General features: G+C 39.7%; 1 long non-coding RNA gene and 1 pseudogene across 4 annotated transcripts in view; one reads left to right on the top strand and one right to left on the bottom strand.

Moving 5' to 3' along the window:
• Nucleotides 1-20742, top strand: part of LOC101928842 (uncharacterized) — an 88319-nt gene extending 67577 nt beyond the window's left edge. For 3 of the 4 annotated variants that reach the window (XR_002956361.1, XR_001744239.1, XR_001744243.1), the window contains 3 exons: nt 15444-15624; nt 15889-16117; nt 20228-20742. This is a non-coding gene — a long non-coding RNA (uncharacterized LOC101928842). Of the gene's footprint in view, nt 1-5312; nt 5509-6077; nt 6383-15443; nt 15625-15888; nt 16118-20227 lie in introns of those variants that run through there. The other variant, XR_001744242.1, reaches the window with a different exon arrangement.
• RNU4-12P (RNA, U4 small nuclear 12, pseudogene) lies at nt 15074-15223 on the bottom strand (annotated as a pseudogene).
• Nucleotides 20743-26925: the final 6183 nt, after the last annotated feature.

Genomic DNA, 26925 nt, shown 5'->3' on the forward strand with positions numbered 1-26925 from the left:
CCATTAGAAGTGCATAGGGCTGCAAAAGCAAAGCCAAAAGACCCTACCCAGCATTCTCTACAGTCACATTCACTAGAGAGCAGGGCAGGGGGCAGGGATGTAAAGGAAAAGAGAAACTCCCTAATAATGTTATAGGAAAAAGAAAGGAAAGGAAAAAATCCTGCCTATGAAAATAAATACAAAAGTTAGAAGTTACAACATCTCCAGATGAGAAGGAACCAGCACAAGAATTCTGATACTACAAAAAATCTGAATGTGCTGATACCACCAAAGGACTGCACTGGCTCTCCTAACCAAAATGGAGACTCAGAAACGACAGATAAAGAATTCAAAGAAACGACTGTGTGAACCCAGGAAATCTAAGACAGATCTCAGTTAATTTAGAAAGTTTGTTTTGCCAAGGTTGAGGACGTGCCTGTGACACAGCCTCTGGAAGTCCTGATGACATGTGCCCAAGGTGGTCAGGGCACAGCTTGGTTTTATACATTTTAGGGAGACATGAGACTTCAATCAATATGTAAGAAGTACATTAGTTCTATCTAGAAAGGCGGAGACAGCTCAAAGCAAGGACCCCCCCACCCCAACTCCCTGGGGGATTCCAGGTCACAGGTTGGTGAGAGACAGATGGTTGCATTCTTTTGAGTTTCTGATAAGTCTTTCCAAAGGAGGCAATCAGAATATGCATCTATCTCTGTGAGCAAAAGGGATGACTTTGAATAAAATGGGAAGCAGATTTGCCCTGAGTGGTTCCCAGCTTGAAGGGGCTCAAGATATTTTCATTTCACAACTGCAAGGAAGGTTCAATGAGCTCTGAGACAAAATAAATACAAATAAATTTCTAAAGCACTCCAGGAAATGTAGGGAGAGATAAGCATACTAAAAAGAATGAATCAGAGCTGCTGGAATTGATAAACCTACTTAAAGACTTTCAAAATACAATTGAAATCTATAGTAATAGACTGGACCAAGCAGAAGAAAGAATTGCAGAGCTTGAAGACTAGTCTTTCAAACTCTAGCCCAGTCAGACAAAAATAAAGCAAAAAGAATTTTAAAAAATGAACAGTCTTTGACAAATATGGGATTATGTAAAGCAAGGAAACCTATAAGTTTAGGCATTCCTGAGTGTGAAAGAGAAAAAGTAAACAACCTGGAAAACATATTTGAGGGAATAATTCAAGAAAATTTCTCAAATCTTACTAGAGAGGTAGACATCCAGAGAATACCTGCGAGATACTGTATAAAACAAACATCACCAAGGCATGGAGTCACCAGACTGTCCAAGGTCAATGCTCAATAAAAAAATCTTAAAGCCAGTTAAAGAAACATGTCATATAACCTAAAAAGGGAGCCTAATTAGTCTAAGAGCAGACTTCTCAGCAGAAAAGTTACAAGCCAGGAAAGATTGGGGGCCTATTTTAAGCATTCATTAAAAAAAGAAATTCCAACCAAGAATTTCATATTTCACCAAACAAAGCTTCATAAGTAGAGGAGAAATAACATCTTATCCAGACAAGCAAGCACTAAGAGAATTTTCTTAATCACTAGACCAGACTTACAAGAGATGCTTAAGAGAATTCTAAACATGGAAACAAAGCAAAGATACCTGCTACCACAAAAACACTTGTACATAGTCCATATATGCTACAAAGCAACCACACAATAGAAATTACAAAGCAGCCAGCTAACAACTTCATGATAGGATCAAAAGGTCACATATCAATATTAATCCTGAATCTAAATGAATCTTGAATATAAATGTTCTAAATGCCCCACTTAAATTGCAGAATGGCACAGTGGCTAAAAAAAGACCCATCAGTCTGCTGTCTTCAAGAGACCCATTTCACACTTAACAATACCTATAGGCTCAAAGTAAAGGGAGAAAGATCAGCCCCACAGATGGAAAACAAATAAGAGCAGGGGTCACTATTCTTATATCAGATTAAACAGAGTTTAAACCAACGAAAGTAAAAAAAAGGATAAATTGAACCCAATAAAGGGTTCAATTCAACAAGAAGACTTAACTATTCTAAATATATCTGCACCTAACATGGGCACACCCAGATGCATAAAACAAGTACTTACAGACCTATGGAAAGACATAGACAGCCACAAAATAATAGTAGGGAACTTCAAAACCCCACAAACAACACTAGACAGACCATAGAGGCAGAAAACTGACAAAAAATTCTGGGCTTTAACTTGACATGTGACCAGGTAGACCTAATAGACATCTACAGAACACTCCATGCATCAGCCACAGAATATACATTCTTGTCTCCACATGGAACTCGAAGATCAAACACATGCACAGATGTAGAGCAAATGTCAATATATTTTTAAGAGTCAAAATCATACTAAGCACACTCTCAGTGAAAGTGAAATAAAAACAGTAATTAATACCAAGAAGATCTCTCAAAACAGCAAAATTACATGGAAATTAAACAACTTGCTCCTAAATGACTTTTGGGTAAACAACATTGACACAGAAATCAAAAAAATCTGTGAAATAATGAAAACAGAGGCACAATGTACCAAAATCCCTGGGATGCAACAGAAGCAGTGTTAAGAGGAAAGCGTAATGCTAAAGACCTACCTCCAAGTGTTAGGAAGATCTCAAATTAACGATCTAACACCACATCTAGAGAAACCAAAAAGATAAGAACAAACTAACCCCAAAGTTAGCAAAAGAAAAGAAAAAACTATGATCAGAGCAGAACTGAACAAAATTCAGTGCACAGTGGTCTGAGCTCCCTGCTCAGTCCCCAGGTGGTGAGGACAAAAATGGGTGGGATTGAACTGGGTTAGACCACCTACAGGTCCCCAAATGACAGGCATGCCAGGGGAGAATCTAGTGAGCAGCTGTTAAGTACCCAGAGGTGTGCCTAGGCATGAATCTGTTAGATCTCCTTGCCTCCAGGTTCTTGCATGGGGCTGGGAGGTTGCCTACACTCCTAACCCAAGAGAGTGAGTGTTCCAGATGCCTGGAGACCTGCTTGTACATGGAGCAGGGAGAGTTCCCTATATCACAGTTTTGACAGGAATATTTGGGCAATTCAGGCTGCTATTGCAGGCTAGTGTGTGCTCTGAATGCCTGGAGATTTGCTGTGGCTTGTGGGGAGGGTCCCACTGCACCAAGATCTCTGCACGATTGGGTGGACTGACTCAGGGTGTTAATCCAAGTAGACAGTTGCTCTGAATGCCTGGAGATCTGCCTGGGTGTGTAGCTGACAGCCTCCTTCCCCCTCATACATGGATCTCTGCACAAGAAATGGTGATGCAGCTTATGCTGCTGATTAAGGTGAACTGGTGCTTCGAATGCCTGGAGATCTGCCTGGGTTTGGCACAGAGAGGGCCTCACTGCACCATGATCTATGTTCAGAATGTGTGAAGTGGCTCAGGCCACTGAGCCAGATGAGTAGGTACTGTGAATGCCTGGAGATCTGCTTGAGCATGAATCTGAGACGGCCTCCTTGCACTGGGATCTCTGCACAGGAAGTGTAGGGCAGCTCAGGCTAGTGATCCAGGTGACTAGGTACTCCAAATCCCTGGATATCTGAATGTGCATGGAGTGGAGAAGGACCCATGGTACCTCAATCTACATATGGGAAGGTTGACATGGCTCAGGCTGCTGAACTAGGCACATGAGTGCTCGAGATTCCTGGTGATCTGTCTGGTAAAAGGGCAGAGAGGGTGTTGCTGTACCCTGATCTATTTCCATAAACTGTGGGGCAACTCAGCCTTCTAGTCCAGGCAAACATGTGCTTTAAATGCCTGGATTTCTGCCTGGGATGGATTAGAGAGGGTCCTGCTGCACCACAATTTCCGGTGAGCAGTATGGGGCACCCAGCAATGTCACATACAGACCAGTTCCAGGACAGCAAGCTAGGCTTGGCTGAAATCTTACTGCTCAAAAGAATCTGCAATGCTACCTGCTCTCCTCCTGCCCCAGGCTTGCAACAGGTGAAAACAAATTTCCAGCTCCTACTGCTGAGACTCTTTCCGTAATTCTGGCTGTGGTGGCTCCTTCCCCACACTTGAGCAGGCGCTTCTGTCTCTGGCCCGAGACTAAAATGCCTGCATGGCCATGCTGCCAGGTTGCTAAAGAATGGCTAAATTTATATGCACTCATATTAAAAATGGCATCCTGCACTTGGTCCTGGGTCTGAGGAAATGTCTACACCTTTTCCCAGTGTCTTTTCTTCATGATGTCTCCAAGCCTCTCCCCAAGTTAACTCAAGGGCTAGGGAAAATCAAATTGCTCTACCATGGCATGGGTTGCTCTGATCACCAGTAGAGAGGTGAATCACAGAGGGAAGCTCTCTGCCTCTCTTACATACCTGGGCTTTACTCATTTTTATCAGGTGGACACTGTTACAGTGGTTGTTTGTCAGCTTTATCAGAGGACACTGTTACAGTGGTTGTTTGTCAGCTTTATCCTCACTGGGATCTGGGTTGTCCTTCATGATTCAGTGGATTCCCATTTTACTTCTTGGATTAAAGCTCACAGAGTTGATCTTTATACATTATCTTGCTATTTTCAAGTGGCCAAGGCATGCTAAAAGCCTCTAATCTGCCACGCTGATTAAAAAATTGGCGTCTTTTTTAATGTAGTTATTTATTGTTACAATCTTCCCTCAGAACTGCTTTCGCTGCATCTTATAAGTTTTGATATGTTGTGTTTCTTAATATATTTTTTATTTTCCTTTTTGAATTGCTACTTTGATTCATGATTGTTTATGAGCATGTCATTTAATTTCCACATACTTGTGAATTTTCCTTCTTTTATTGATTTCTAGTTTCATAACATTGTGGTCAGAAAAGATACTTGATATGATTTCAGTGTTCTTAAGTATTTTGGGACTTATTTTCTGGCCTAACATATAATATATCCTGGAGAATGTTTCCTGTGTGCTTGAAAAGAATGTGTGTTCTGTTGCTGTTAGATGGAATGTTCTTTATGTCTATTAGGTCTGTTTAGTATATAGTTCAAGTCCAGTGTTCTCTTATTGATTTTCTGTTTAGATGATCTGCCCATTGTTGTGGGGCATTAAAGTTCTCAACTGTTACTGTACTGCTGTGCATTTCTCCCATCAGCCCTGTTAATATTTTAAAAATATACTAATTTCTCCAATGTTGGGTGCATATATATTTACATTTGTTGTGTCCTATTGATGTGTTGTCCTCTTTATCATGATATAATAACATTTTTTAATCTCTTGTTACAGTTTTTGACTTAAAATCTGTTTTGTTAGGTATAAGTATAGATACCCCTGCTATGCTTTTGGTTTCCATTTTCATAGAATATCTTCTCCTCTCCCTTCACTTTAAGTGTTTGCACGTGTATCAGGCTGTTCTTGTATTACTATAAAGAAATACCTGAGACTGGTTAATTTTTAAAGAAAAGAGATTTAATTGGTTTGCTGTTCTTGCAGGCTATACAAGCATGATGACAGTACCTGCTCGGCTTCTGGTGAGCTTTTACTCATGGCAGAGAGCAAAGTGGAAGCAGTAAGTCACAAAGTGAAAGCAGGAGCAAGGAAGGGGGAAGTGCCACACTTTTAAACAACCAGATCACTTGAGAACTCATTTACTGTCATGAGGACAACACCAACTCATGAGAGATCCTCCCCTACAATCCAAACACCTTTCACCAGCCTCATCTCCAACATTGGGTATTACATTTCAACATGAGATTTGGGCAGGGACAAATACCCAAGCTCTATCATTCTGCCTCTGGCACCCCCAAATCTCATGTCCCTCTCCCATTGCAAAATAAAATCACGCCTTCCTAATTGTTCCCCAGGTCTTAACTTATTCCAGCATCAATTCAAAAGTCCAAAGTCCAAAGTATGCTCAGATATCACAATTTCCTTCTGCCTATGAGCCTATAAAATAAAAAACAAATTATTTATTTTCAAGATACAATAGGAATACAGGCATTGTATAAACATTCCTATTCCAAAAATGAGAAAAGAAAGGGGCTACAGTCCCCATTCAAGTTCAAAACCCAGCAGGGTAGCTGTTACATCTTAAAAGGTCCAAAATAATCTCCATTGACTCCCTTTCCCATATCAAAGGCACTTCTGCAAGTCTCAGAGTCTAAAGGCTGAAAAACCTGGAGTCTGATGTCCAAGGGCAGGAGGAGAGGAAGCAAGCATCTGACATGGAAAGAAAGTGGGAGCCAGAAGACTCAGCAAGCAAGACTACCCCCATGACTTCTTCCACCTAGGTCTTCCTCTTCCAGTCCACTGACCCAAATGTAAATTTCCTTTGGCAACATCCTCACAGACACACCCCAAAACAATACTTTGCCAGCCATCTAGGAATCCTTTAATCCAGTCAGGATGACAACTAATGTTAACCATCACAGCATTTTCTAAAGGTAATGTGAGTCTCTTGTAGACATAATGCTATGTTTTTTGATTTGTGAATTTTAATCCATTTTCATCTATAGCAATTATTGGTAGGTAAGAATTCACTATTGCCATTTCATTAATTATTTTCTGATTGTTTTATAGATCCTTAACTCCTTTCTTTCTCTCTTGTTGCCTTCTTCTGTGATTTGATGATTTTTCTGTAGTGGTTTGCTTTGATTCCCTTGTCTTCTATGTATCAACTATGGGTTTTTGTTTTGTGGTTATGATGAGGCATGCATAAAACATCATAAAACATCTTATAGTTTTACAAGCCTGTTTTAAGTTAACAACAACTTAACTTTAGCATATAAAAGCTGTGCACTTTTACTATCCCTCCCACATTTTATGTTTTTGATATCACAATTCACATCGTTTTATATTGTGTATCATTAACAAATTATTGTATCTATAGTTATTTTTAATACTTTTGTCTTTTAACCTTTATAATAGAGCTATAGGTAATTTATTCACCACCATGACAGTATTTGAATATTCTGAGCACAAATTCACTTTAATAGTGAGTTTTATGCTTTCACGTGTTTTTATGGTACTAATTAGTGGCTTTTCTTTTTTTTTCTTTTTATTATACTTTAAGTTTTAGGGTACATGTGCACATTGTGCAGGTTAGTTACATATGTATACATGTGCCATGCTGGTGCGCTGCACCCACTAACTCGTCATCTAGCATTAGGTATACCTCCCAATGCTATCCCTCCCCCCACCCCACCCCACCACAGTCCCCAGAGTGTGATATTCCCCTTCCTGTGTCCATGTGATCTCATTGTTCAATTCCCACCTATGAGTGAGAATATGCGGTGTTTGGTTTTTTGTTCTTGCGATAGTTTACTGAGAATGATGATTTCCAATTTCATCCATGTCCCTACAAAGGACACGAACTCATCCTTTTTTATGGCTGCATAGTATTCCATGGTGTATATGTGCCACATTTTCTTAATCCAGTCTATCATTGTTGGACATTTGGGTTGGTTCCAAGTCTTTGCTATTGTGAATAATGCCGCAATAAACATACGTGTACATGTGTCTTTATAGCAGCATGATTTATAGTCCTTTGGGTATATACCCAGTAATGGGATGGCTGGGTCAAATGGTATTTCTAGTTCTAGATCCCTGAGGAATCGCCACACTGACTTCCACAATGGTTGAACTAGTTTACAGTCCCACCAACAGTGTAAAAGTGTTCCTATTTCTCCACATCCTCTCCAGCACCTGTTGTTTCCTGACTTTTTAATGATTGCCATTCTAACTGGTGTGAGATGGTATCTCATAGTGGTTTTGATTTGCGTTTCTCTGATAGCTAGTGATGATGAGCATTTTTTCATGTGTTTTTTGGCTGCATAAATGTCACAAGCATTCTTATACACCAACAACAGACAAACAGAGAGCCAAATCATGAGTGAACTCCCATTCCCAATTGCTTCAAAGAGAATAAAATACCTAGGAATCCAACTTACAAGGGATGTGAAGGACCTCTTCAAGGAGAACTACAAACCACTGCTCAGTGAAATAAAAGAGGATACAAATAAATGGAAGAACATTCCATGCTCATGGGTAGGAAGAATCAATATCGTGAAAATGGCCATACTGCCCAAGGTAATTTACAGATTCAATGCCATCCCCATCAAGCTACCAATGACTTTCTTCACAGAATTGGAAAAAACTACTTTAAAGTTCATATGGAACCAAAAAAGAGCCCGCATTGCCAAGTCAATCCTAAGCCAAAAGAACAAAGCTGGAGGCATCACACTACCTGACTTCAAACTATTCTACAAGGCTACAGTAACCAAAACAGCATGGTACTGGTACCAAAACAGAGATATAGATCAATGGAACAGAACAGAGCCCTCAGAAATAATGCCGCATGTCTACAACTATCTGATCTTTGACAAACCTGAGAAAAACAAGCAATGGGGAAAGGATTCCCTATTTAATAAATGGTGCTGGGAAAACTGGCTAGCCATATGTAGAAAGCTGAAACTGGATCCCTTCCTTACACCTTATACAAAAATCAATTCAAGATGGATTAAAGATTTAAACGTTAAACCTAAAACCATAAAAACCCTAGAAGAAAACCTAGGCATTACCATTCAGGACATAGGCGTGGGCAAGGACTTCATGTCCAAAACACCAAAAGCAATGGCAACAAAAGACAAAATTGACAAATGGGATCTAATTAAACTAAAGAGCTTCTGCACAGCAAAAGAAACTACCATCAGAGTGAACAGGCAACCTACAACATGGGAGAAAATTTTTGCAACCTACTCATCTGACAAAGGGCTAATATCCAGAATCTACAATGAACTCAAACAAATTTACAAGAAAAAAACAAACAACCCCATCAAAAAGTGGGCGAAGGACATGAACAGACACTTCTCAAAAGAAGACATTTATGCAGCCAATTAGTGGCTTTTCTTCAGCTAGAAGTATTTTCTTTAACATTTATTGTAAGGCCGGCCTAGTGGTGATAAAGTCCCTTAGCTTTTGTTTGTCTCAGAAAGCCCTTATCTCTCCTTAGTTTCTGAAGGGCAGATTTGCTGAGTAAATTATTTGTGCTCACAGTTCTTTTTCTTTTACCACTTTGAATATGTCAACCCACTTTCTCCTGCCCTGCAAGATTTCTTCTGAGAAATCAGCTGATAGCTTTGTTTGTGTTCCTTTGGATGTGGTATGCTTCTTTTCTCATGATACCTTCAAACACATCTCTCTTTCTTTGATATTTGAGTTTGATGATAATGTGCCTTGATTAAATATTATTTGGTTGAATGTTATTAGAGATCTCTGAGCTTCATGTATCTGGGTATCCATATTTTTCCCAAGATTTGGGAAGTTTTCAAGCATTATTTTTTCAAATAAACTTTCTATCCTTTTTTCTTCTTTTGGAACCCCTATAATGTAAATGTTAGGTCTCTTGATGGTGTCCCATAAATCCTATAGGCTTAAAACATTCCTTTTCATTATTTTTTTCTTTTTTCCCTTTCAACTAGATAATTCAAAATGATCTCTCTTCAAGGTTGCCTATTCTCTCTTGTGTTTGGTTATTATATTGTTGAAGCTTTCTATTGTATTTTATAGTTGTCATTGTATTCTTCATCTTCAAAACTTTTATTAAAAATTGCCTATCTTTTTGTTGAACTTATTTTATTCTTCTATGAATTCATAAAATTATTTATGTTCTCTTGTAGCTTGTTGAGTTTCTTTAGAACAATTATCTTGAATTCTTTGTCAGGAAATATGCACATCTCCAATTCTTTGGGATTTGTTACTGGAAATTTATTGTATTTCTTTAGTGATGTCATGTTTCCTGATTTATTGTGATCCTTGTAGTCTTTTCTACACATTTGAAGATGCATTCATATCTTCCAGACTTAATGGACTGGCTTTGATAGTAAAAGACATTCACCTATGGGGGAGCATGCTGAAGTGTGCTGTGACATTGGATCTAGAGATGTGGGACACCAAGGCTGGGGGGAATGCAGTGGCTCCAGGTCATGGAAGAGCAGGGTGACTTGTCTTCTTACACAGCTGAGGTCTGCGACATTGACAACTACATGGTCCTTGGAGGCAAGAACTGCAGAATGTCTGCAGTAGCTGTGAGGGCTGTTGTCATCCTCTATGTTGCCTGTGAGTCCAGCATCAAGGGAATGAGGTATTCAGCAGTAGGGGCTGTCATTGTATATACGCTTGGCTGAAGTGGCTGGCTGAAACACATTTGTGATGATAGAGGCTAGTTGAGGGCACATGTACAGCAGTGAGGGCCAGAGTCAAGGGGGAGGTCTGGGGCAGACTATAGGCAGACATATGGTGGTGGTGGCCAGTGGTATGCATGTGCATGGCTATAGGAACCAGAGCAGCATGTATGTGTGTGGTTGCAAAGAGAGCTATGAGTACATGCCCAAAAGTAGGTAACAGCAACAGGGATTGTGTTTGTGTGCAGCTGTGGGCCCAAGTTAGCAGTGGGCATATGTGTGGTTGCAGGGGCTGGCTGTGAGTGCAAACATGCTGGTGGGTGTAGGTTCTGGGGAGTGGGGCTGATTGCATGCCCATATGCAGCTATGGGGGCTGGGGCTGCTGGCGAACATGTATATAGCTGCATGGGCCAGCTGCAGGCATGTGTTTGGTAGTAGGGGCTGGCAATAGGAGTCAGAACAAGCTGATTGTGTGTTTGCATCTGCAGGGGCCAGGAATGATGCTGATTATGTGCATAGCTACACAGGCAGCTATGGTCCCATATTTGGTTGTGATAGCTTATGTTGGGGGTGAGGTTTATCAATCAAAAGACATACAGTGACTCAATGGATAAAAAACAGACACAACTATATGCTGCTGAGAAGACTCACTTCACTTTTAAGGACAAAAAACAGTGAACATAGACTAAAAGTGAAGAGATAGAAGATATTTCAAGCAAATTAAAACCAAAAGAGAGCAGAGTTAGCTATACTCATATCAGATAAAATAGACTTTGATACCAAAAGTGCACAGCTGTGAGAACCAGGCTTTTGGTATATATATGTTTGACTGCAGGGGCCAGCTGTAGAAGCGAGAATGGTGGTAGGGACTGGTGGTGGGAGTTGGGACCCACTACTTGGCACACACAGCTGCAGAAGCCAGGGATGGTGGCAGGCACAACCTAGTGGTGAAAGTTGTGGGATTCTGCTGCAGTTGTGATGGCTGTTGGTTTCCTCACCAGCAAAAGCTGCTAGGGTCCTCTGCAGAGTAGGCCACTGGGGTCTGTCATGGCAAACTCTGGCAGGGTTGGGGGATGGTTCTTCAGCAGTGAAAGCTGTGGGGCTGCACAATGGCTTCAAGGGCTGTTGAAGTCCTCAGTGGAGGGGGCTTCAGAATTCCTGTGCAGAGTATGCCATGGGGAACCATGGTAGCTCCCATTGTGTGGCTGATATTGTTAGTGCCCACTCTTTGTTCCAAGCTGTCTCCAGACATCTTAGTTATGCCAGTCTCCCCAGTGATCTAGATGGGGTGAAGCCGAAGAATGTAATTCAGGCAGTGCTCCAGAAGTCTAAGGAAGTCGGTTGTTTAACTTATTCTTTTTTTCCTTGAGGGGAACTCATGAGCTAGAGTATTCCCTCTCTGTGATTAGAAGTGATGGCCAGGGGATAGGATGATGCAGGTAAAGTAAAAAATGTTTTTTCTCCCCATTTTATGTGGTTATTTTTGGATTTATTCCACTGCATTTCTGTAGCTTCTTAAGTGGACTTCTGAGCTCTTCCAGAGCTATTTTTATTCATGGATAGCTGTCCAGTTGTTCTCTATGTGAGAGACAAAGGATGGATTCACTCCATCTTCCTGACATCACTGTATCATAAGCCAAATTCTAAAAAAGAAATATGAAAAGAAATTAGTTGCAATGTTGTGTTAACACTGGCTTTCTAGTGGAAAGCAATAAATTTGGCCAATCTAACAGTCATTGGCTGCAGTTTTGCTCTATGTCTGGTGGTATGCTGGACTTTTTGAGGAGAGAATCCTTGCCTCAGAGTTGCCCACAGCTTCACAAATTTTGGGTGACTTGGGAAGGGATCTGTCAATATTAGTGACTGAGGAAAAAAACTGTACTCACTGTGAGCCAAATTTGCATTAAAAAACTTTTGCTAAATTGCAATATATGAAATCCCTTCAACAATTCATTTTTTTTTTTTTTTGAGATGGAGTCTCACTCTATCCCCCAGGCTGGAGTGCAGTGGTGTGATCCCGGCTTACTGAGAGCTCCACCTCCCGGGTTCACACCATTCTCCTGCCTCAGCCTTCTGAGTAGCTGGGACTACAGGTGCCTGCCAACATGCTCGGCTTATTTTTTGTATTTTTAGTAGAGATGGGGTTTCACCATGTTAGCCAGGATGGTCTCGATCTGCTGACCTCGTGATCCGCCCATCTCCGCCTCCCAAAGTGCTGGGATTACAGGTGTGAGCCACCGCCCCGGCCAACAATTCATTTTTAATTAATTAATTAATTTTTTTGAGACAGAGTCTTACTCTAGTTGCCTAGGCTGGAGTGCATTGGTGTGATCTCAGCTCACTACAGCCTTGATCTCTTGAGCTCAGATGATCCTCCCACCTCAGCCTCTGAGTAGCTGGGACTACAGGCATGCACCACTGTGCCTGGCTAGTTTTTTGTACTTTTTAGTAGATACGGGGTTTTGTTATGTTGTCCAGGTGGATCTTGAACTCCTGGACTCAAGGAATCTGCTCACCTTGGCCTCCCAGAATGTTAGGATTACAGGTGTGAGCCACCACACCCAACCTTCATTTTTAATTTAAAAGGAGGAGTTCAGGTGTCTATGGACAAATATAAGAGGATTTTTAATTGTAATGACTTAGAAATGGAAATAGTCAAAAGATTAAGATTAAGGCAGCTATCGTTAGGTACTAATGTGTTAGTATGTAACAATCATTAATTTGGCTGACTCCTTCTAACAAACATTAGCTTCATTATTTGTGTATATGTGTGTGAAAAATAGTGAGTTTTAATTAATTCACATTTGGTTGATTTAATAAATGCACCCAACTATCCATTTACAAATAGCTTGCTACAATACAATTTCACTTAGAACTCAACTTCTAATAAAAATTCAGTTAAATCAGCAAATATTTCTTAGACATCTATTTTGTGTACGTGTGAGGTACTGAGTAATTTTCTTTGGGGGATGTTACTCAGTTTTCACAGATGAGGGCAGGGGATTTTCCTATCTTCTTAACCACTATATTTCCAGCGTTTAGAATAGTTCCTAAGACATAACTGGCATTCAAATAAAGCTCTCTGTGGTATTGGCTATAATATGAGCTTTATCTGTGAAGTACTTTAAACAGAAGATGTAATTAGGTCATAGAAGTGTGAGGAAGCAAAACAGATATCCTACTCTGCTGCAATTTTGTTTAAGAACATTTAAACTCTCTGAGATAAACCACACACACACGTGCATGCACACACATGTGTGCCTGTGAATGCAGTATTTTCTTCTAGTCTCTAATGTAGATGAAGGCTTAATTTCATTTCCTGTAAGTTGATGATTCCTTAAATAAAATGCTGATACTGATAGATACATAAGATCCTTGCAAACAGGGTAATTATGTGTAGTAGTTGTTATTTTCCACCAAAGAGAATTATAAACAGACTGAAAATTTGAAGGTTTTTTTTTGTTTGTTTGTTTGTTTTTTGACAGAGTCTCCCTCTGTTGCCCAGGCTGCAGTGCAGTGGTGCGATCTTGGCTCACTGCAATCTCTGCCTCCTGGGTTCAAGTGATTCTCCTGCCTCAGCCTCCGAGAGTAGCTGGAACTACAGGTGTGCACCACCACAACCAGCTAATTTTTTGTGTGTATTTTTAGTAGAGGTTTCTCCATGTTGGCCAGGCTAGTCTCGAACTCTTGACCTCAGGTGATCCACCCACCTCTGCCTCCCAAAGTGCTGGGATTACAGGTGTGAGCCACTGCAGCTGGCCAGAGGTTTTTAAATTTAAATATTTGGTATACCCTTTATTGAGAACCCACTTTGTCTAACAGATACAACCCCTTATAAAATTTTGCAAATAAAATTACTTTTTAAGTGCTAAACTTTGAGTCTTCTTTGGACAGTTACCATGGAGACCTTGATAAGATTACGCAGACCCATCCAATTATTGGAGTCACCTACACTGTATTGTTTGAGATATGCAATCTCATGGGCCCCTTGAACCCAGATTGGCCTTTCTTAACTCTCGGGGTGAACCTTACCATCTTGTGATAAAGATTTCACTTTCACTTACTTTGATTCTAGATTAAGTCTAGTTCTGTTTTTTTAAGCCACCCTTCTCTTGCCTTCATTAATGGAGGAAACGTTGAAATATGTTTTTGTTTTTTTGACTTTGCTATCAAAAACACTGCATGTGTTTGCTTTTGGTAGAAGATAACAGGCAATATAGATGACTATTTAGGTACTTATGTATGACCTTTTTGTTTGTTTGTTTTTTATTTCTCAAGGAGTGTCTTATCTCCTGGCACTTGGGACACCCATGTGTTTGCTTCAAGGCCACCAGATTTTGGTTTAGTTGGACTAATAGTCTTTCTCAACTGTGGGGTTGACAAGTTACTCACACCACTTTCTGTGCCATTGAATATTTGATTTTCTGATGGCTGATAAAATTATCTTTGCTATTTGTCTTGGTTTCAACAACAACAACAACAACAAAAACAAAACTCTCACTCACCTTGTAAGCATGCAGTGTAACAGAGAAGCAGTCCCTAGATCAAGGAATATTGCAACAACTGTAACTTTAAGCCTTTTGTGACTCCTTGACTTTCATGTTCTGATGCTGTTACTACTGACTATTGAGTTTTTAATGAGAGGGTGACAAGTGTGTTCAGTTTCAAAGTTCATGAGTCAAAGATGGCCATTGACATGTCTGTCTTTGTTAAAATGTCTCTTTTTAGGTTTTTTAATTTTTAATTTTTATGGGTATATAGAAGGTGTATATATTTATGGGCTACATGGGATGTTTTGATACAAGCATGCAATGTGAAATAATCACATGATGGCGAGTGGAGTATCCATCCCCCTCAAGCATTTATTCTTTGTGTTTCAAACAATCCAATTAGTATTTTATTTATTTATTTTATATATATATATATATATATAATTTTTTTTACTGAAATATTCAGTCTCCATATCCCTGGAGACTGTCAAAAATTGCCAATACTGACTATGTTACAAGTCATCATGGTGGAGTATTGGGAAAAGTTTTCAATTAGCAATAATCACACCTCAGATAAACCTCATTGGCTACAATACTGCCATGGTGCAAAGCTCTTTTAGTTATTTTAAAATGTACAATTAAGTTAGTATTGAATGTAGTCACCCTGTTGTCCTATAAATACTAGGTCTTATTCACGCTATTATTTTGTACCCATTCATGGTTAAAACATCTCTGTCATTTATAAAATTGAAACTAAAATAATCTGTTTCTATAAATCATGACTGCTGGTTGAAAATCAGTTAAATAATAAAAATACTATTTTTTTTAAACAGAGAATCCTGCATTCTAAAGGATCTAGTCTGGATGCCAGGAGCTGTGTATAGGATGAGAGCCTGGTGGACCTGATTGACCGCCTGTTGTTCAGTTCAGTTCAGAGACTGAAAATCAGGATTTGTGCTGGAGAGTCTTTGAACTGTGTGTGAAAGTATCTGAAGGTCCATGACAATTTGAAAGGTAAACAGTAATGGACTTTCATAGATCTATAGTATTTGCTCTTGACCTTGGCTGAAATTGTAAAACAGGCTGCCACATCTCTGTAAGTACTTTTCTCTTCTTGCATACAAATGAATTGGTTTTTTATAAGTGTCCATTCATAACTGTAGCCCTTTTGCATCTGTGTCTAGTGACTTTTATGGGAAAACTTTTGGGGGATAATTGATTATAGGAATTTGTCATTTGTGCACAAATGTCTGAAGGGTTTAATGTCTAATTTAACAGAAGGCATATGAAAAAGGTGCAGGAATCGAAGGCACGAGATACACCTGAAAGTGGTGGAGCAATGAATCTGAACAGGATGATGGATTGAAAGTGCTCAAAAGAGGCAGCTAGGATCCTGTATTCATGTCCTACCACTGCAGCCAGGGAAAGATCCTCCCACATCTATCAGAAGACTGGAGGATTATGTCTGGAGAGATTGAATTCTAGGGATGCTCAGGCCCAAATGAAGGTGGGATGACAAGCCTTGATAAAATCTTTCAGTAGAAATAGTAGAGAATTTTAAGAGAATTTTATTGAAATTTTTGAGACATTTTTGTATGTCTGGGAAAAGAGGAAACTAACTTGTTAGTGCTTTTCTGATTTGAATAATATGTGTCGGAAGAAACTGGAGGTGAAATGTGAATGATCCTTTTCTGGCTTGTCTGGAGGTTTTGCCTCAACAGAGAAATCTAAAGGGTTATGAATTTATAACATTATTTCTTTGCTCTCCAAAAAATGGAAGCTTTCATAAAAATACATCAAAGTTTTAGAAAACAGCATATTTGTCTCTGGTCTTTCTTTTTGGAATGATTGTTATTTGGAAGTTAGACCCTCCTTGGTCAATCATCTCATTTTATTATTATTTTTTCTTATTTTCTTGTTCTAGTCTCTGGCAGATTTTCTCAACTTTATTTTTCAACCCTTCTTTTGAATTCTTCACTTCCTATATTGTATTTTCAATTTCCAAGAGCCTTTTTTGTTTGTTTGTTCTCTGATGGTTCTTTGTTTTTTCAGCCTCTTATTTTTATTTCATGGATACAATATACTCTCTTCTTTTACAAGGAGATTAATTATTATATTTTGAAACTTTCTTGGCTATTTTCTCTGTTTCTTGGATTGTCTTTCTTTTTAACATTTTTGTCTCTCTTTTCATTTTGAATCCTGTCTTTCAAGAGAGGGCTATTCTTTAAGATAGAAGTAATAACAAAACAGACTAGAAACTGTATTTGGATGGAGAATGGATATAAACTGGTAGGCTTTACTCGAGAAGGTTCTGGCTGGGCCTTTTTGTTGGAGAGCCATCAACTTGCAGTATCTTTAGGTATTTTTGGAGGGTTGGTAACTTTTTCCAGAGAGGACTCCACTAATCTTTTGTCAAAAGAATCTAAGCCTGCTTGCAGGTTCTGCCAGCTGACTGGGGACTAGGGCTTGAGAATTTCTTTTAGTTAATACCCTTGTTTTTATCAGGGAATCTCGTATTCACCTTAATCTGTGCCTGCATCCGGCATCCGCTGAATTCAGTTTTCCACATAGTAATCCTCGAGACTCCTGGTATGATATGGGGGTCTGTCAGCTGTCTGTGATGGGTGGAAAAGGAGCCCTGGAATTCTATCTGCCTCTTTTTACACACTTTCAATCCTATTTTTAGATCCTACTCTGCTGCTTTCAGAAGTATTTGGTACCTTCATCCCTGAGGTGTTATACCAGGGTTTGGCAAACTGTAATCTGCCAACCAAATCATGATTTGCTTTGTCCTTTCAATCTTTGCCTGTTTTTATAAATAAAGTTTTCTTGGAACACAGCCATGTCCATAGACATGTATTATCTATGACTGCAGAGACGGACAGTTGTGACAGAGACCCTATGGCATGGAAAGCTTGAAATATTTACTATCTGGACCTTTACATAAAAAATGTACTGACAACTGTACTACACTACAGTATGAATCAACCTGCTTCTGGATTTCCCCTATTGCTACCTTGGGTTTGAGTGCTTTCTGATTTACTAAATTGTTTACCATTTATTGATCTATTTTCTAGGTTTCAAAGTTCATTATCATTTTATTTTCTTTCAATCTTTTTGTCTTTGTGGATTTATTCCTTTTGCTTCCTTTAGTGTAATTTTAGTATAGAGTTTCAGGAGAGTGTAGAGGCGAACCTTGAGTTTGCTCCACCATGTTCAATCAGAAATCTGAGGTAGGAATCATCAATGCCATTAGAAAAGAAAACTAAGTTTGCAGGAAGTTAATTGCTCAAGGTCACAGAGAAGAACTGGGATACAAGCCCAGGTCTTTTGGAGAGCCCCTGTAAGGTAAACACCACAAGGGCAGTGATTTTGTTTTGTTCACTGCTGTAGTCTTAGAACTTTGACAGATATTTAGGATGTACTGGATAAATATTTATTTTAGTTGTTGCCAGTAAAATCATGTTTGTAACCATTTTGATTCATTATCTCCAATAAGTATTGATTTTTCTCAGGAATATTTGTTTCAGTCTCTGGATTGTTCCCATTATGAATTATGGCCTGTGTTTGTCACTAGCTTGTTATGTAAAATCAGAGCAGAGGCTGTTTGAATTTTAGTAACCTCAAATTTTGTCCTTATTTCATTCAGTGCGGTAGTGAGAACCATACAAGATATGGTGTCTGAAAGCTCATTGACATGTATAAAGTGTAAAATGCAAGGTTTTATTGTCAGAGTTTATAATATTAAATATCACCAATTGTACAATGGAAATTCAATGTTAAATAATAAATATACCATAATAGGTGTTCTTTTCCTTAAAATAGTTTCTTGGCTTGGTTCCAGGATATCAGGCTCTTGGTCTACTCCTACGTCATTGACTAAACATTCTCAGTCTCCTTAGCTGGGTTTGCCTCTTCATTACAATCTCTAAATGTTGGAGGGACGAGGGACAAATCCTCAAGCCTCTTCTTTTCTCTCTTTATATCCTCCCCTAGGTGGTCTCATTCAGTTCCATGATTTTAAATACTGTCTATGTATATTAATTACTCACAACCTTTTATCTCCCTGATCTTCCTCTAATCTCTAGAAATCTCTTTTACAATTTATCCACTTGGATATTTAATAGACACTTCAAACATAACACACCACTGTATTCTAGAATCTCTGAGTCCTGGGACTATTGAAATTTTGGGCTGGATAATTCTTGTTTTGGGGGACTGTCCTGTGCACTGTAGGATGCTTAGAAGCATCCCTGGCCTCTATCCACTATATGCCAGTAGCACCTCCCAGTTGTGATAACAAAAATTGTTTCCAGAGCTTGTTAAATCTCCCCTCATGGGCAAAATCACTCCTGATGAAATACCAGTAGTTTATTCTAGCTTCCAACACATTCTGAACCTCCTTATTTTTCTCTACCTGAGTAAAAGGGACCACTATCCATCTCCAAACCTAGATCTCATTCTTGATTTTTTTGCTTTACCTTACTCCCTACATCTAATGTAGCAGTGTCAATAAACTTTATCATAAAAATCCATCCCAAATCTGTCAACTCTCAGCTCACTACTACTGCCACTTGCATTAGTCAGGCTTTGCTGTGGTAATGATGGTAAAAAATAGCTCCGAAATATTCATGGCTAAGAACTGAAATTTTTTTTGACCTACCAGTCTATAGGTTGTCTATGACTCTGCAAGACTATGAGTGATGTTCAGGTATGCCTCATCTGTTTCTTATTCTTGGACACAGGTCAAAAGAGTGGAGTCTAGTCAGAGCATGTTTCTCTCTATTCTCACAGAATAGGAGCACACGTGGGCAAGTAGAAATGGGCAAGGCTTTCTAACAGCTTTGCTCAAAATTGGCACTTTCACTTCTGCTCATATTCTATTGGTCAAACTAAATCACATGGCCAAGCCACAAGTCAGTAGATCAGAGAAGTACACTTCACCAGCAGAAAAGCCACAACAAAGGCCAAGTGGAAGAAAAAAGTTGGGAACAAATAATACTCTGTGCAACTTCACCCTGTTTCTAGCCTTTATCATCTCTGACCTGAATGATATCAATAGCCTCCCTAATGGTCTCCCCAGTTCTTCTCATGCTCCCAGTACAGGAGCCCAAAGTGATTTTTCAGAAACATAAATCAGATTCCATCACTCTTAGACTTAAAACTCTTCAATGGCTTCTCCTCACACTAACAGTAAAAATTAATCACCTTTGTTGTTAAATGCTAAAACAAAGTGCTGAAAGTGTATATGGTATGCTACCTTTTGTGTGACAAATAAGAGGAAAGAAGAAAATGTGCACAAATCTACCTATCTTTAGAAAAAGAAACACCAGAAGTATCATCCACAAAAAGATGAAGTTGGTTAACTATATGGAATGGTTAGGGAAGGGGAACAGGGTGGAAAGGATAGGTCATACAGTGACACATCTCTGAGTATACTTTTTGTTTAATTTTGAAAAATTTTTTTGAACAACACTATAACCTCTGTCTTGGGTTGCATTGTAGTTGGGGGAAGGTAGGGAGGGAAAAGCAAACACATCCTCAGCTCTTCTTAATAGGTTTGATTTTTATGTTGGTATGAGTGAAACAATTCTAAAATTACTTTTGATATCTATAGGTTTGAGCACACAATGAAATGAGTTGATATTGACTGTTGGGAACCAGAGTTCTCAGTGGATGAAGAGACACAGAAAAATAAAATGAAGGAAGGCAAAGAAGATCTCTGAAGAGATGGATTGGAATTGGAAGCATTAGTATGAACCATGATTCTAAAATAGTTATATATTGATGTCTATGCTTGTATATATCCAGAAGTTTATGTATGTATGTTTAAATGTGTGTGTAATATATATGTATACATATATGTACACATGTATATATTTCCTAGCTTTGTCTACTGAAAGGGTCCACAAGCAAAATCTTGTAGCGGATCTTGGTCTCTAAGATTGTTCCCTGTTAAAAAAAAAACAGGATCCGTTGGAGAAATTGCTGATTCCAGTGCTGTAGCAGAAAAGGTAATACATGATCCTAAAATCAGTAGTCTCATTCTGTTAGATTACTGTGGGGTTCAGTATGGTAGCCACTAGTCTCTTGTGCTATTTATTTATTTATTTTTATTATTATGCTTTAAGTTCTAGGGTACATGTGTACAGCATGCAGGTTTGTTGCATATGTATACATCTGCCATGTTGGTGTGCTGCACCCATTAACTGGCAATTTACATTAGGTAAATCTCCTAATGCTATCCCTGCTCCCTCCCCCAACCCCATGTCAGGCCCCAGTATGTGATGATCCTCATCCTGTGTCCAAGTGTTTTCATTGTTCAGTTCCCACCTGTGAGTGAGAACATGCAGTGTTTGGTTTTCTATCCTTGCGATAGTTTGCTCAGAATGATGGTTTCTAATTTCATCCATGTCCCTACAAAGGACATGAACTCATCCTTTTTTATGGCTGCATAGTATTCCACGGTGTATATGTGCCACATTTTCTTTTTTTTTTCTTTTTTTTTTTTTTATTATACTCTAAGTTTTAGGGTACATGTGCACATTGTGCAGGTTAGTTACATATGTATACATGTGCCATGCTGGTGCGCTGCACCCACTAATGTGTCATCTAGCATTAGGTATATCTCCCAATGCTATCCCTCCCCCCTCCCCCGACCCCACCACAGTCCCCAGAGTGTGATATTCCCCTTCCTGTGTCCATGTGATCTCATTGTTCAATTCCCACCTATGAGTGAGAATATGCGGTGTTTGGTTTTTTGTTCTTGCGATAGTTTACTGAGAATGATGGTTTCCAATTTCATCCATGTCCCTACAAAGGATATGAACTCATCATTTTTTATGGCTGCATAGTATTCCATGGTGTATATGTGCCACATTTTCTTAATCCAGTCTATCATTGTTGGACATTTGGGTTGGTTCCAAGTCTTTGCTATTGTGAATAGTGCCGCAATAAACATACGTGTGCATGTGTCTTTATAGCAGCATGATTTATACTCATTTGGGTATATACCCAGTAATGGGATGGCTGGGTCAAATGGTATTTCTAGTTCTAGATCCCTGAGGAATCGCCACACTGACTTCCACAATGGTTGAACTAGTTTACAGTCCCACCAACAGTGTAAAAGTGTTCCTATTTCTCCGCATCCTCTCCAGCACCTGTTGTTTCCTGACTTTTTAATGATTGCCATTCTAAATGGTGTGAGATGATATCTCATAGTGGTTTTGATTTGCATTTCTCTGATGGCCAGTGATGATGAGCATTTCTTCATGTGTTTTTTGGCTGCATAAATGTCTTCTTTTGAGAAGTGTCTGTTCATGTCCTTCGCCCACTTTTTGATGGGGTTGTTTGTTTTTTTCTTGTAAATTTGTTTGAGTTCATTGTAGATTCTGGATATTAGCCCTTTGTCAGATGAGTAGGTTGCAAAAATTTTCTCCCATGTTGTAGGTTGCCTGTTCACTCTGATGGTAGTTTCTTTTGCTGTGCAGAAGCTCTTTAGTTTAATTAGATCCCATTTGTCAATTTTGTCTTTTGTTGCCATTGCTTTTGGTGTTTTGGACATGAAGTCCTTGCCCACGCCTATGTCCTGAATGGTAATGCCTAGGTTTTCTTCTAGGGTTTTTATGGTTTTAGGTTTAACGTTTAAATCTTTAATCCATCTTGAATTGATTTTTGTATAAGGTGTAAGGAAGGGATCCAGTTTCAGCTTTCTACATATGGCTAGCCAGTTTTCCCAGCACCATTTATTAAATAGGGAATCCTTTCCCCATTGCTTGTTTTTCTCAGGTTTGTCAAAGATCAGATAGTTGTAGACATGCGGCATTATTTCTGAGGGCTCTGTTCTGTTCCATTGATCTATATCTCTGTTTTGGTACCAGTACCATGCTGTTTTGGTTACTGTAGCCTTGTAGAATAGTTTGAAGTCAGGTAGTGTGATGCCTCCAGCTTTGTTCTTTTGGCTTAGGATTGACTTGGCAATGCGGGCTCTTTTTTGGTTCCATATGAACTTTAAAGTAGTTTTTTCCAATTCTGTGAAGAAAGTCATTGGTAGCTTGATGGGGATGGCATTGAATCTGTAAATTACCTTGGGCAGTATGGCCATTTTCACGATATTGATTCTTCCTACCCATGAGCATGGAATGTTCTTCCATTTGTTTGTATCCTCTTTTATTTCCTTGAGCAGTGGTTTGTAGTTCTCCTTGAAGAGGTCCTTCACATCCCTTGTAAGTTGGATTCCTAGGTATTTTATTCTCTTTGAAGCAATTGTGGGAGTTCACCCATGATTTGGCTCTCTGTTTGTCTGTTGTTGGTGTATAAGAATGCTTGTGATTTTTGTACATTGATTTTGTATCCTGAGACTTTGCTGAAGTTGCTTATCAGCTTAAGGAGATTTTGGGCTGAGACGATGGGGTTTTCTAGATAAACAATCATGTCGTCTGCAAACAGGGACAATTTGACTTCCTCTTTTCCTAATTGAATACCCTTTATTTCCTTCTCCTGCCTGATTGCCCTGGCCAGAACTTCCAACACTATGTTGAATAGGAGCGGTGAGAGAGGGCATCCCTGTCTTGTGCCGGTTTTCAAAGGGAATGCTTCCAGTTTTTGCCCATTCAGTATGATATTGGCTGTGGGTTTGTCATAGATAGCTCTTATTATTTTGAAATACGTCCCATCAATACCTAATTTATTGAGAGTTTTTAGCATGAAGGGTTGTTGAATTTTGTCAAAGGCTTTTTCTGCATCTATTGAGATAATCATGTGGTTTTTGTCTTTGGCTCTGTTTATATGCTGGATTACATTTATTGATTTGCGTATATTGAACCAGCCTTGCATCCCAGGGATGAAGCCCACTTGATCATGGTGGATAAGCTTTTTGATGTGCTGCTGGATTCGGTTTGCCAGTATTTTATTGAGGATTTTTGCATCAATGTTCATCAAGGATATTGGTCTAAAATTCTCTTTTTTGGTTGTGTCTCTGCCCGGCTTTGGTATCAGAATGATTCTGGCCTCATAAAATGAGTTAGGGAGGATTCCCTCTTTTTCTATTGATTGGAATAGTTTCAGAAGGAATGGTACCAGTTCCTCCTTGTACCTCTGGTAGAATTCGGCTGTGAATCCATCTGGTCCTGGACTCTTTTTGGTTGGTAAACTATTGATTATTGCCACAATTTCAGAGCCTGTTATTGGTCTATTCAGAGATTCAACTTCTTCCTGGTTTAGTCTTGGGAGAGTGTATGTGTCGAGGAATGTATCCATTTCTTCTAGATTTTCTAGTTTATTTGCGTAGAGGTGTTTGTAGTATTCTCTGATGGTAGTTTGTATTTCCGTGGGATCGGTGGTGATATCCCCTTTATCATTTTTTATTGTGTCTATTTGATTCTTCTCTCTTTTTTTCTTTATTAGTCTTGCTAGCGGTCTATCAATTTTGTTGATCCTTTCAAAAAACCAGCTCCTGGATTCATTGATTTTTTGAAGGGTTTTTTGTGTCTCTATTTCCTTCAGTTCTGCTCTGATTTTAGTTATTTCTTGCCTTCTGCTAGCTTTTGAATGTGTTTGCTCTTGCTTTTCTAGTTCTTTTAATTGTGATGTTAGGGTGTCAATTTTGGATCTTTCCTGCTTTCTCTTGTAGGCATTTAGTGCTATAAATTTCCCTCTACACACTGCTTTGAATGCGTCCCAGAGATTCTGGTATGTGGTGTCTTTGTTCTCGTTGGTTTCAAAGAACATCTTTATTTCTGCCTTCATTTCGTTATGTACCCAGTAGTCATTCAGGAGCAGGTTGTTCAGTTTCCATGTAGTTGAGCGGCTTTGAGTGAGATTCTTAAACCTGAGTTCTAGTTTGATTGCACTGTGGTCTGAGAGATAGTTTGTTATAATTTCTGTTCTTTTACATTTGCTGAGGAGAGCTTTACTTCCAACTATGTGGTCAATTTTGGAATAGGTGTGGTGTGGTGCTGAAAAAAATGTATATTCTGTTGATTTGGGGTGGAGAGTTCTGTAGATGTCTATTAGGTCTGCTTGGTGCAGAGCTGAGTTCAATTCCTGGGTATCCTTGTTGACTTTCTGTCTCGTTGATCTGTCTAATGTTGACAGTGGGGTGTTAAAGTCTCCCATTATTAATGTGTGGGAGTCTAAGTCTCTTTGTAGGTCACTGAGGACTTGCTTTATGAATCTGGGTGCTCCTGTATTGGGTGCATAAATATTTAGGATAGTTAGCTCCTCTTGTTGAATTGATCCCTTTACCATTATGTAATGGCCTTCTTTGTCTCTTTTGATCTTTGTTGGTTTAAAGTCTGTTTTATCAGAGACTAGGATTGCAACCCCTGCCTTTTTTTGTTTTCCATTGGCTTGGTAGATCTTCCTCCATCCTTTTATTTTGAGCCTATGTGTGTCTCTGCACGTGAGATGGGTTTCCTGAATACAGCACACTGATGGGTCTTGACTCTTTATCCAACTTGCCAGTCTGTGTCTTTTAATTGCAGAATTTAGTCCATTTATATTTAAAGTTAATATTGTTATGTGTGAATTTGATCCTGTCATTATGATGTTAGCTGGTGATTTTGCTCATTAGTTGATGCAGTTTCTTCCTAGTCTCGATGGTCTTTACATTTTGGCATGATTTTGCAGCGGCTGGTACCGGTTGTTCCTTTCCATGTTTAGCGCTTCCTTCAGGAGCTCTTTTAGGGCAGGCCTGGTGGTGACAAAATCTCTCAACATTTGCTTGTCTATAAAGTATTTTATTTCTCCTTCACTTATGAAGCTTAGTTTGGCTGGATATGAAATTCTGGGTTGAAAATTCTTTTCTTTAAGAATGTTGAATATTGGCCCCCACTCTCTTCTGGCTTGTAGGGTTTCTGCCGAGAGATCCGCTGTTAGTCTGATGGGCTTTCCTTTGAGGGTAACCCGACCTTTCTCTCTGGCTGCCCTTAACATTTTTTCCTTCATTTCAACTTTGGTGAATCTGACAATTATGTGTCTTGGAGTTGCTCTTCTCGAGGAGTATCTTTGTGGCGTTCTCTGTATTTCCTGAATCTGAACGTTGGCCTGCCTTGCTAGATTGGGGAAGTTCTCCTGGATAATATCCTGCAGAGTGTTTTCCAACTTGGTTCCATTCTCCACATCACTTTCAGGTACACCAATCAGACGTAGATTTGGTCTTTTCACATAGTCCCATATTTCTTGGAGGCTTTGCTCATTTCTTTTTATTCTTTTTTCTCTAAACTTCCCTTCTCGCTTCATTTCATTCATTTCATCTTCCATTGCTGATACCCTTTCTTCCAGTTGATCGCATCGGCTCCTGAGGCTTCTGCATTCTTCACGTAGTTCTCGAGCCTTGGTTTTCAGCTCCATCAGCTCCTTTAAGCACTTCTCTGTATTGGTTATTCTAGTTATACATTCTTCTAAATTTTTTTCAAAGTTTTCAACTTCTTTGCCTTTGGTTTGAATGTCCTCCCGTAGCTCAGAGTAATTTGATCGTCTGAAGCCTTCTTCTCTCAGCTCGTCAAAATCATTCTCCATCCAGCTTTGTTCTGTTGCTGGTGAGGAACTGCGTTCCTTTGGAGGAGGAGAGGCGCTCTGAGTTTTAGAGTTTCCAGTTTTTCTGTTCTGTTTTTTCCCCATCTTTGTGGTTTTATCTACTTTTGGTCTTTGATGATGGTGATGTAGAGATGGGTTTTCGGTGTAGATGTCCTTTCTGGTTGTTAGTTTTCCTTCTAACAGACAGGACCCTCAGCTGCAGGTCTGTTGGAATACCCTGCCGTGTGAGGTGTCAGTGTGCCCCTGCTGGGGGGTGCCTCCCAGTTAGGCTGCTCGGGGGTCAGGAGTCAGGGACCCACTTGAGGAGGCAGTCTGCCCGTTCTCAGATCTCCAGCTGCGTGCTGGGAGAACCACTGCTCTCTTCAAAGCTGTCAGACAGGGACACTTAAGTCTGCAGAGGTTACTGCTGTCTTTTTGTTTGTCTGTGCCCTGCCCCCAGAGGTGGAGCCTACAGAGGCAGGCAGGCCTCCTTGAGCTGTGGTGGGCTCCACCCAGTTCGAGCTTCCTGGCTGCTTTGTTTACCTAAGCAAGCCTGGGCAATGGTGGGCGCCCCTCCCCCAGCCTCGTTGCCGCCTTGCAGTTTGATCTCAGACTGCTGTGCTAGCAATCAGCGAGATTCCGTGGGCGTAGGACCCTCCGAGCCAGGTGTGGGATATAGTCTCATGGTGCGCCGTTTCTTAAGCCGGTCTGAAAAGCGCAATATTCGGGTGGGAGTGACCCGATTTTCCAGGTGCGTCCGTCTCCCCTTTCTTTGACTCGGAAAGGGAACTCCCTGAC

Source organism: Homo sapiens, chromosome 6, assembly GCF_000001405.40.
Source record: "Homo sapiens chromosome 6, GRCh38.p14 Primary Assembly".
NCBI lineage: Eukaryota > Metazoa > Chordata > Mammalia > Primates > Hominidae > Homo > Homo sapiens.